At 42.2% G+C, this 12,399-nt stretch overlaps 1 long non-coding RNA gene across 3 annotated transcripts in view; it reads left to right on the top strand.

Annotated features, from left to right (window-relative positions):
- LOC127239154 (uncharacterized) overlaps positions 1 to 10,059 on the top strand; it is a 34,786-nt gene extending 24,727 nt beyond the window's left edge. For all 3 annotated transcript variants that reach the window (NR_182074.1, NR_182076.1, NR_182075.1), the window contains 2 exons: positions 3,962 to 4,111; positions 4,574 to 10,059. This is a non-coding gene — a long non-coding RNA (uncharacterized LOC127239154). The remainder of the gene's footprint in view (positions 1 to 3,961; positions 4,112 to 4,573) is intronic.
- Positions 10,060 to 12,399: the final 2,340 nt, after the last annotated feature.

Genomic DNA, 12,399 nt, shown 5'->3' with positions numbered 1-12,399 from the left:
AGTTTGATACTGACCTCTGTCTGATGCTGGGCTGTCACCATGCCCAAGACTGAGGGGACCCACAGTCTAGCTAGAAGGCATGGATCAATTCCAACTGCCCTACCCCTAGCCTGTGGGCAGGAGAAAGCTCTCAGGCTCTGGCAGAGGAGTCCCAGGGGCAGGATGCATGATCTTCCACTGTGCCTCCCAGCCATGCTGAGCAGCAAAGCAGACCATGAGCACGTCTCCCTTAAATTCATTTGCTTGATTTGTCCTTGAGTGTCCTTGGATGGGTTTGTTCCCTCCTTGTGCAGTATGTCTTGGTCATCCTGATTCCTGGGCTTGGCTCCCAGGTTGATTCTTTCCCTGACACAAAACAGGCACTATGGGCAAAGACACCTGCAGCCTTGGAGAGACCAGTGATGCTGGATGTTTCCTGTTAGCACTCAGGAAAGCTCAGAGCCTTTGATGAGCATCTTTTGATCCATGAGTTAAAACCACGCTGGGTTCTTTATAGTGGTTAGTTAGCTCTGGGCTATGGGATTGTGGAAGACATTTATTTCTTCTTTGGATTCACCTGGATTTTCTGCAACGGACATGTATCGATAAAATACATGGTGCTTTTAAGAAATTGCCCCATCATCATGTTGCTGTTGTTGTTATTGATATTGTTGTTTCTGATGGATAGAGATCTAGGCCTGACACTCCAAGCAGTGTGAACAGCATTTACCTTGATAAGCATTCTTACATCTTAACTCTCGGGAATTTTAAATAGAAGTGTTCCGTGTGATTAAATTAACAGGTTTAGAGATGAGTGTCCTGGTTATTTCCTTTGTTCTCCTCCTGGTAGCTGCCTGCACTCACAGCATGTTGGGAATGGTGATTATAAATGTAACCATGCTCTCTTCTTGTAAGTGGAGAGCCCAGGTACCTCTTATCCAGCATGTGACCCTCTTTCTACCTCAGGATAGTCATACTCTTAGGCTTCCTGGATTTATTCAGGGCCAAGGAGTGGTCAAGGTCCTTTTTGTTTTGCCCTATTCCCTTTGGAAAACATTTAGTTTATGCCCATGTTACAGATTGCAAAATACAGGCACATATTCTCACTAATGTGGTCTGCATGTCCCTTTGCAAGGATCACGAGGTCAGGAGATGGAGACCATCCTGGCTAACACAGTGAGACACAGTCTCTACTAAAAAATACAAAAAAAAAAAAAAAATTAGCCGGGTGTGGTGGTAGGTGCCTGTAGTCTCAGCTACTTGGGAGCCTGAGGCAGGAGAATGGCGTGAACCCAGGAGGCAGAGCTTGCAGTGAGCCTAGATCGCACCACTGCACTCCAGCCTGGGCAACAGAGCGAGATTCTGACTCAAAAAAAAAAAAAAAAGAAAAAAGAAAAGAAAAGAAAAGAAAAGGAGCCTCTTTGCCTCTTTACCCTAATCTGGGCAAGCCTTGCAACCTGATTTGCCAAAAAAATATGAAGGAAGCAATGTGATGTAATTTTCCAGGCTAGAATGTAAGAAGCCTTGGAGCTTCTGCTTTTACTGTCTTCAGATGCTGCCTGAAACCACTGTAAGAAGCTCTAACCTACTGGAGGATAAGGGGTGAGCCCAAGAGCATCAAGGCTCCCATCAACAGCCAGTCCTGTGAGTGAGGCCATCTTGGACCTGCCAGCTCAGTAAACCCTTTTGCTGAACACAGCCCAAGGAAGGAACCCTTGCAAAATGAAATCATGTGGTCAGTTTGCGGGGTGGTTATTACAAAGCAGTAGATGATTGAAAAGGCCCAGTGTCTTCCTGGGGACTGAAACACCCACCTCCTGTTCATGTTGATACACGGTGAGCAGCATATGGATGTGGGAGTGGTGTTGGTTGCAGGTGAGGTAGAGAAGCAGTGAACAGAGCACGAAGACCTGATGTTCCAGGGTCGGGAGTTTAGACTTGATCCTAAGAGCGGCCATAGGCGGATTTAGGCAAGAGAGTAACGTGGTCAGATTTTCATTTTAGAAAGTTACTCTGACATCCATGTGGAAAATGAACTTGAAGGTCACAAGGCTGATGGAGCCAGGAAGACCATTTGGGAGGTGATTGTAGTAATTTACTTACGAGTTCATTACGAGCTGGGGAATGGGGAGGTGTTAGAGAAGAGAAAATGGATTTGAAGAGCTGAGGGATGTTAAAAAGGCAAAACTGGGCCAGGGATGGCGGCTCACGCCTGTAATCCCAGCACTTTGGGAGGCCAAGGTGGGCAGATCATGAGGTCAAGAGATTGAGATCATCTGGGCCAATATGGTGAAATCCCCTCTCTACTAAAAATACAAAAATTATCTGGATGTAGTGGCACACACCTATAATCCCAGCTACTTGGGAAGCTGAGGCAGGAGAATCGCTTGAACACAGGCAGCGGAGGTTGCAGTGAGCTGAGATTGCACCACCGCACACCAGCCTGGTGACAGAGCAAGACTCCGTCTAAAAACAAAAACAAAAACAAAAAAACCGGAAAATTGTTGGGACTTGTAATTAATTGGGTGAGGAAACTGAGTGGCAAATGGTCTCAGCTCTACACATGGAGAGCCCTGGGGACATAGGGAGAGCATATTTGGAAGGAAAGATGATAATTTTAGTTCTTAAAATTTTGTTTGTGGAGGAGACATTCAGACAGAGAATTCTGTTGGGCAGTTTTATGTAGAGAACTACATCTAAAGAGGTCAGAAGTGAACTTCAATAAAATTGAGGTGACCAATGATCATCAGTTTTAAAGAGGACATATTTTCTTTTTCTGTTAAAGGGAACACACCTATGAGTCAGAAAGCCAGACTTTTATTTTTTCTCACCAAAAGTTATTGTACAACCTACAGAAGAGAGTGTAAACACTGGTCTTTAAGATGAATTGTAAAGCTCTAAAGAGAATAAGAAAAATTGCGTTTCATGATTTATGATGGATAACATTTTAGAGTTGATTTCATAAGAGAATTCGTTAAGCCAATAGACAACCATGGCATTTTAACTGTAGTGTTTAAGTATCTTTAGCTCTGATTTTTTAATTAGCAGAAGCAAATAAAGAGAGCTTCGTTTTAACCATGAGAAATCTCTCTTCTGTATTTCATGTGACTAAATTTGTCCAGACGCTGAAGTTCAAATAATCACAGTGATTGCCAATATAATGGTTAATTTCCTGAGAAGTAAGTTCATACTTTGCCACAGTTTGCTCCCTTGTAAGATCAGACAGAAAAATAAGAATAAAACCGACTAATAGCTATTGATTGCCTCTGGAACAGCTATCAATATAAAGAGCCAGACAAAACACATAATAAAGAATTGTGTTAGTGCCAGAGAGAGTTTAGAGATCATTTGCCCATCTCTTTACCTTCTCCCACTTGTTTCTGTCCCTCCACCCCACCAGCTCTGATACAGACACACAGGATATTAGTAAAGGATAGTATTTGTTGAGAGCCTTTTGCGTGTCAGGCACTGCTTCTAAACGTTGTATAATACCAGCTCATTCAATCTTCAAATCAATGCTATACAGTAGGTACTCTTCTTCTTCTTTTTTTTTTTTTTTAATTTTACAGCTGAGGGACTGAGGTATGGAGAGGTTAGGTAACTTGTTCAAGGACACCAAGCCAGTCAGGGTGCCACTGGACCTAAGACAAGGTAACCTGGCTCTGAGACCAACCCCACAGAGAAGTATGTGGATGCTGACAACACTGTAGGAAGTTACAAGGAGCAAAAGAATAGCAGCCTTAGCCCTGAATTCCACTGTAAGCTTCCCTCTAATCTTCCCTGCCTCACTCTCAATCAAATAAAGAGCTGATCAGGAAGCAACTATGCACGGTCTCCACAGTCTCTTATCTTAACCCAGACTCTCCTTTCTATTGATAGCAGGTCTGTAGATAATAATTCTTTCAACCAATTGACAATCAGAAAATCTTTGAATCTATCTATGACCTGTAAGCCCCATTACTTTGAATTTTCCTCCTTCCAGACCAAACCAATGCAGACCAAACCAATGCAGAACTCCTATGTGCTGATGGTGGTCTTACATTTCCCTAAGTTTCTGCCGACTAAACTGTGCACACGTTCTCAGGACCTCCTGAAGCTGCGTCACAGGCACTAATCAAAGAACACAACCAAGGTGAGTCTCAATCATTTCAAGAAATCTATTTGCAAGGTTAAGGACACACCTGAGAAAAGAACAGAGAACCACAGGAAAAACTGTGGTCCGTGCTTTTCCCAAAGATTTTCTGGGGACCTCAGTAAGTAAAGGGGAAAAGTGTGGGTATTGGGGAAAGGGGAAGAAGTGGAAAAAATGGGTGTGGGTAAATCAGAGGCAAATTGTTGCATTCTTCTGTCTTTGGTCAGCGTTCACTGAATACACATTTTACATGCGATGGAGGTAGAGGCAGGGATGTAGCTTTTTTATCTTTGTGTAATAGCTATCTTATTTAGGAACCAGATGGGAAGCAGGTTTGCATAAGCCAGTTCCCAGCTTGGCTTTTCCCTTTGGCTTAGTGAGTCTGGGGTCCCAGGATTTATTTTCCGTTCTCACAGGTTGTAGTCCTCACATTTGGCTCAAAATATTCAAAATTTTTTCCAGAGTTTGGCCTTTTCTTCAGCACTGGGAATTGTGATCCAAAGCTTTTCCTGATGAGGCACAAAGTTGGAGAAACACAACGCAAACTAAACAACAATGAAACAGAACAGAGTGAATCTGCTGTAGCTCAAGAGAGGACGTAGCTGCCCCCACTCCGCATCCCCGGGCTCGGGTTTGCCTTGCTGACCTCTGCTGCCACCTGGTGCTGCACAGAGAAACTGAGGAGAAACCACATCAGTCTCCTTCAGCCTCAGCTTCACATCTGTGGGTCAAGCAACCCTTTCAGAAGCTGTATAATGTGGGAAAGCTTTCCTCTCAGGAAAATGCACACATCCAACTTTGAGAAGATGCCCTTGGGGGTGCTTCAAGGATCCTAGATAATAACCCCCTTTCCCGAACATCCAAGAACCTAAGTTTTTTTTTTTTTTTTGAGAAAGTCTCGCTCTCTCTCCCATTCTGGAGTGCAGTGGCGTGATCTTGGCTCACTGCAAGCTCCACCTCCCAGGTTCAAGCCATTCTCCTGCCTCAGCCTCCCAAGTAGCTGGGGCTACAGGCACCTGCCACCACACCCGGCTAATTTTTTTGTATTTTTAGTAGAGACGGGGTTTCACCGTGTTAGCCAGAATCGTCTTGATCTCCTGACCTTGTGATCCACCCGCCTCGGCCTCCCAAAGTGCTGGGATTACAGGTGTGAGCCACCACGCCTGGTCCAAGAACCCAACTTTTAGATCTAGAGTGATGTCAGCATGACATTGATTTCCTGAGGCCCAGGGGTGAAGGAGCTGAGGACAGCAGAGGGGTGAAGGAAGTCAGCTACAGACAGCAGCAGCTGATGCACAGGCCTCCCAGTGCCTGAAGTCACCCGGAATTGGGAAGTGCTCAGAAGCTTACAAAGCTGCCTCGAGGTGGGAACACAACATTAATCCAAGAGCAGATCCCTGATCCTATAAAAATGTACTAGATGCAGTGGGGGCATTTTAAATGAGCAGGGAAGGACAGACAGATAAACAGAAGGACAAACAGTATTGGGATTGGGATAAATGCTCAGCTTTTGCCCAAATCTTAGTGACTTAAGCATCACTTATTTGCTCACGATTCTGTGGCTGGACCATTTGGTTTGGCTCACAGGGCAGGGACTGTGCTGGTCTTACCTGAGCAGACCTGCATGTCTGCGGTCAACTGGGTTGGCAGAGACAGAGTGACTGTCTTCCTCCAGGAAGCAGCAGGTTAACTGGTTGGCAGAGACAGAGGGACTGAGGGACTGTCTCCCTCCAGGAAGCAGCAGGTTAACTGGTTGGCAGAGACAGAGGGACAGAGGGACTGTCTTCCTCCAGGAAGCAGCAGGTTGGCTCTGGTTCCTTCGTGGGGCAGCTGGTCTCCAGGGCAGCAAGAGAGACCAAGCCCCCGTGCACATTCTACAGCCTCTGTGCACATCAGACTTGTTAATATCCCATTGGCCAGTGCAAGTCACACGGCCAAGCCCAGATTAAGGAGTGGAAAGATGGACGCTATCTCCTCCTGGGAGAGGAGGCAAAGGAGGTGAGAGCATTATGTGGCCACTTATGTTTGCAATCTACCATACTTAGCCCTTTGAGAAAAGAATTAACTGAGAAACTTGCTTCAAATAGGGCATTCAGTAAAATGAAGCCCCAATTGAAGTAAAATGCATATATAAAAAATGAAACTGTGACCGATTTTAAGGACAGTATTGGCAAATATTTCTGTGCTCTTGGAGGAGAAGACCCTTATTGGCATGACATGTCAGAGACCACAATGAAAGAATTATTTTAACTTGCATTCATAAAAATTAAAATTATTCATTAAAAACATCGTGAATGAAATTAAAAGTCAAAATGTAAGCCAGAAAATTATTTACAACATATGTGTCAGGAAAAGACAATACACTTCAGACTTTGAGAGTTTACATCAGAAAGAAAATAGCAAATGACATGATCCAAACTTGATAAAGGACATGAAAAAGAGCCAGCACTTAGTATGTTTTCTGAATGAATAAGTAGCCAACAGCACACGAAAATGTGTGTAATCCACTTGTAAGCAGAGAAATGCAAATTAAAACAGTAAAGTGTCATTTTCACTTCCTGGATTGGCAAAGGGTTTTATGTATTTTACTGACAGTGCTCAACATTAGCAGTAAACAACAAATGGTGAGTAAATATGAGCTTCGGAACCTCAGGGAAATGATCTCCTTATTTCAACCTGCAGATTCCTTCCTACAACCAGTGTAGAGCAGAGTACCAGGACGGGCCATTGAGCACCCTGGTGTTGAGATCAAGTGGCCTCTAGTCAGAGTTGGGTCAGGGCCACTGTGAGTGGGCTGCCCCCAACATGAGTCAGCTGTCTAGGACTAGTTTATCTCTGCTTCTCACTTTACTGGTATTATGGGGCAGCTCCTGCTGTCTTCCAATTTGGTGTCTTCCAAATCGGCACCGTCTTTTAAAGTTGAGTTTCTTGTTATTCTCACCTGATATACCTTATTTATCCCACACCCACCCCAATAACATATCGTGCTCAGTGTTATCTTTGAGACAACACTTGAATTTTACTCAGCCTGGAGCGCTCTTCACATGTCTTGTCCAGATCCAGTTCGGACTCATTCTTCAGCCGTGCATCAGTAAATGGGGGCTAGGTTAAACTGTGGTGACAAACAACCTCCAAATTTCAGTGGCTCAAAAATCTTCTTCCTCATTTATTTACATTTCATCATGGGTCAGGTGAGAGGTAGCTCTGTGCTGTGTCATCCTAACACAGGAATCCAGACGGAAGGAGGGACAATCAATAAGATCCCCATTGCTATAGAAAAGAGAAAAAAGTATGCGGAATAGCACTCTGTTTCTTGGAGATTTCTCCTGAAAAAGTCACATGTTATTTCTTCTCACCTCCATTGGCAAAAAAAAAGTCATGTGGCCATGTGAAAATGTAAGTAGGCGGGATGGAACAGTCAGAATGCATTCATAAAATATGAACTGAAAATATCTGGAGAACAGCACCTATGACTACCACGAATGCCAACATGCATCCCTAACAACCCAGTGCTGTCACCCTCCAAACTTTTTATGTCTTGCAAAGTATTAGAACTTCTTATCTGAAGCCATACCACTCAGAGGGAATGCAAAATACATATTGACATCTCCTTTAGGATGTCCTTAGAGAATTCAAGGAAAAGAAGTTAAATAATTTTAAAGTGCTTTTGGGTACAGCTATTTAGCACTAGAGGGTAAGATTAGACATAGATTGTAAAGATAATAATAGGGTTAGGGATAGGATTAGGATCTGGGTCAGAGTCAGGGCCAGAAGTATGGTTAGAGGTGGGGTCATGGTCAGGGTCGAGATCAAAGTCAGGGTCAAAGTAAGGGTCAGAATTAGGGACCAGGATAGGGATCAGGATTTAGGTTCAGTGTCAAAGTCTTGGGACAAGGTTAGGGTTAGAATTAGAACCAGAGCTTTGTTCTCCTCAGGACCCACCCGAGGGTGGGTCACCATGGCTTTGGAGCGCCTGGTAGTGTGGTGTGTCCACAGTGAAGACCAGAGTTTCATTGTCCTTAAGACTGACCTGGGGAGATGTGGCTGTAGGCCATTGAGGAAGGTGAGGCAACAGCTTCCTGTCTGCTCCCCGTGTGCTGAGGAGGGAGTTCTGCCATGGGCTTTACTTTCACATGTTATATTCCACAAGTCTTGTTTTACAAAAGCATCCCTTCCTTGAGGCTTCGGCTGCTCATCGCTGCTCATCATCATAGCGTGCCATAACATATAGTAAGATTTGGGTTTGTTTCTGGGGAGATATCTTGGTATAGAGAAAGGAGAAATGCTTAGAGCCACCATCAGGACAGTTGGGATGAAAGTTGGGTATAGGCAGAGGCTGGAGGAAACATGTGCATCCCCTGTAAACACTTTTATTCATGTTTTAATTACTCATTTTTCTTACAGTGTTAAATTAGTAAAGATAGTATTGAAAAATTGAAAAGTAGGCATATTAAAACTTGCAACACTATTTAAGCCTAGATATATTATTTGTACCTCATCAACATTTTTTATTGTGTTGAGAAAGTTTAAGGTTAATTGACAGCATATTTCTAATAGTAGATAGAATAACATCCCTTTTATAAACATTGACATCCTACATTACATGTGTGAACCCTGAAAATCTGAGACAGCTCTCAGATTTTTTAGAAAGTTTATTTTGCCAATCTTGAGGATGTGCGCCTGTGATGCCTCCTCAGGAGATCCTGACAACATGGGCCCAAGGTGGTCGGGGCACAGCTTGGTTTTATACACTTTAGGGAGACACGAGAGATCAATCAATACGTGTAAGATGTACATTGGTTCAGTCCAGAAAGGTGAGAAGGCCAGACAGGGGGCTTCCAGGTCACAGGTAGGTAAGAGACAAATGGTTTCATTCTTTTGCATTGCTGATTACCCTCTCCATGTGAGGCAATCAGGTATGCATTTATCTAGGTGATCAGACGGGTGTTTTGGATAGAATGGGAGGCGGGTTTGCCCTAAGCAGTTCCCAGCTTGACTTTTCCCTTTAGCTTAGTGATTTTGAGTCCCCAAGATTTATTTTCCCTTCGTAAGTGTTCCTATGAGTATTAATTATTCATTGTGTCTTTTATTACACAAATAAGGCACAGATTTTTAAGAAATCATCAACTTCATGGCTACCTATATAGACATAATTACACAGAAGCTCAACTAAATTTGCAAACATTCCAGAGTTTGGGTTTCCAATAATTCTTTGTGATTCTTTAAAAGGTAAAGTATTTTTTCCCATAAAACATAGCAACATTTAAAATCACCCGTAGAATGTCCCGCCATTTTTGTTTTTCTAGTTTCCTCATTTTCTGCAAATCCTCGCTGAGGAAATTGACTTTGAATATCCTTTTAGACTCTTTTGTTTTAGAAAGCATTGTGGTAAAACATTGAATCATCATGGTCATAAGTTCTGTTCACATTCTTTCTTTCTTTGAATATTTTTTCCCAGTGGCCAATATTTGATTCTGTTGTATTATGGCTAAAAGGTAGGCATGGGAACAAAATAAAGACAAGAAGTCTTTGGAATAATTGATCCCATCACAATGAATCAATTTGCCATTGGAACATGTTTTTACAAAGTCACTCTTTTGAAAATATTCAGCTATGACTTGAAACAGAGTCTGTATGGTTAATATTTTTCCTGGTCTAAGGTGAACAGCATTTTAGAGAATGAACCCAGGACACAACCACAGCACAAGAAAAAAATATGATAATTAAGTTTACACATATTGTTACTACTGTAACAGAAAACATGTAAAGGACATTTGTTTTGATTTATATATCAGTCTGCACTGTTTAATTTTTTGTGTCATAATTGCTCTTATTTTAAAAAACAGGACTAGTTAACAGTGTCAATTACTAGTAATTCATGGTATAAATAATTAAACAAGGAAGTGTTAAAAAAACTGTGTTTTAAATAAAGTTTTATTTTACGTCTTTTTTTTACTTACACAGAAATCGTCAAAAAAAAAAAGCAGAGATTTCCCATGTAGCCGCAACCTAGTTTCCTCTCTTATTAACATCTTCTATCAGTGTGTCTCACATGGCTTATTAATATCTTACATAATTTGCCGCAGTTAATGAACCAATACTGATAGACTGTTATTAACTGAAGTTCATATTTCATTTGGATTCCCTTAGTTCTATCTTACTCTGACCCAGGATCCCATCCAGGATCCCGCACGGCATGTAGTCATCACATAGGCTCTTCCTGGCTGTGACAGTGTGTCAGGCTTTCCATCTCATGATGACCTTCATAGCACTGAGGAGGATTGGTCAGGAATTTTGTAGAATGCCCCCCATTGTCACTTCATGTTCTCAAGGTGAACTGTCAGCTTTGATATTCACTTGGATCATTTGGCAGAGCTACTGTTTGTCAGATTTCTCCACTGTGAAGTTATTTTTCCTCCTTGTCCGTACTGCATGTGTTCTTTTGGAGCAAGTCACTATGCAGAGCCCACACTTACGGAGTGAGGAGTTGGCTCCACCTTCTTGATGGCTGAGTGTCTACATCAGTTATTTGGAATTCTTTTGCAAAGGAGATTTCTATGCAACTCCATTTGCTTATTCACCTAGGTATACAAATACAGACACCTAGATAATTACTTTAAGCTTTAGTTATTATTTGACACTATAGCATTATGTTGCACAATTCCTTCCTGTGTTGGCCATCGGTAGCTGTTTTTATTGGCTTTTATTTTTGTTTGATATATTTTAATTTTTTTAGTACTTACTTTCTGATACTTCCAGATTATCCTGGCTCCTATATTTACTGTCCCAGTTCTAGTATCAGACATTTCTTCAAAGAGCCTGATTCCTTTCAGAATGGTGGGAAAACTTACATGTGGCTGCTGAATGCACATTGTATCTTGTCCCTCATTAGCAATGCTAGGAAGTATATGTGCGTGTCTAACCTACCTACACACACCTAATTATAAAGTTTTCTATGTAGAACTGTGTGTATCTATATTAAACTAAGCATAAGTTTACGTTGATGTCTCCACCTCTGATCTACTATCACAGGAATCATTCTAGCCTTCTCGTCTTGCTAATTTGTAACCTCCCACTTCAACAGTGAGAAAGCTGGTTCCCACCATCTGCGACTTATGTAAGTCATTGTTTTACTCCAGATACAGACACTGTGGTTTTACAATTGTTCACAATTGCTTCTGTTGGAAAGAACTTTATAAAATGGAATCCAATAATGAAGTATAGTTCATGTGCCTTCAGCCTACAGATTCTATTCATTTTCAAAGTTTTTACCTAGATTTGTGTCTTAGTCCATTTTGTGCTTCTGTAACAGAATACCTGAGGCTGCGTAATTTATAAGTAAAAAAGTTTCATTTGGTTCACAATACTGGTGGCTGGAATGTCTGAGATTGGGCAGTTGCATCTGGCGGGGCCTCAGTCTTTTTCACCTCATGGTGGAAAGTGGAAGGGGAGCAAGGGGTGCACCAGAGATCACATAGCAGAAGTGAAAGCAAGAGGGAAGCCAAGGAAGCCAGACTCTTTTTAATTACCTGCTCCTGCAGGAATTATCTATTCCTGTGAGAACAGAACTCACTCACCCCCATGGAGGACATTAATCCTTTCATGAGGGATCCGTCCCCACGACCCAAACACCGTCCACTAGGCCCCACCGCCCCACACTGACACAGTGGGAGTCAAATTTCAACATGAGTTTTTGTGGGGACAAACCACATCCAAACCATCGTAATTTGTAGCATAAATTCTTTTTCACATGATGTATTCTGTCCTGGGATACTCCACATCCTGAGTAATTTGATTTAATTTGAATAGAGTTTGCTTTAACCATTTGGCTGTAAAATTCTGCATATTTCGACAAATGCATTGTGGCAGATATCCCACTATTAAAGTATCATATGGAATGCCTCAAACCCCCACCCCATGGAGCCAATGGCTTCCCATCTGTGTAGTTTGCCTTCCCCAGTGTCTCATTAAATGAGGTCACACTATGTGTATCCTCCTCAGACTGTCTTCTTCCACTTAGCAATGTGCATGCAAGATTCACTCATGTCTTTGTGTGTGTTGATATCTTGTTCCTTTCTATGGCTAAATAGTATTCCATTACATGAATGTAGCACAATTTGGTTATGCATTTTGGGGAGTAGAACCTTCCTCTTCTAACTTTGTTCCAGGGTTGGAGACCTTCAAATTAACTGACAATAGATACATTAGTAGGAGAGACAATACTTGGCTTCTTGTTCCCCAAGTATCATTGTGGGACAAAATTCATCAGATGGCAGGATCCAGTTTAC

Source organism: Homo sapiens, chromosome 1 (assembly GCF_000001405.40).
Source record: "Homo sapiens chromosome 1, GRCh38.p14 Primary Assembly".
Taxonomy (NCBI): Eukaryota; Metazoa; Chordata; class Mammalia; order Primates; family Hominidae; genus Homo; species Homo sapiens.
Note: the sequence above shows the minus strand (reverse complement) of the source record. Positions and strands in the feature narration are given on the sequence as shown.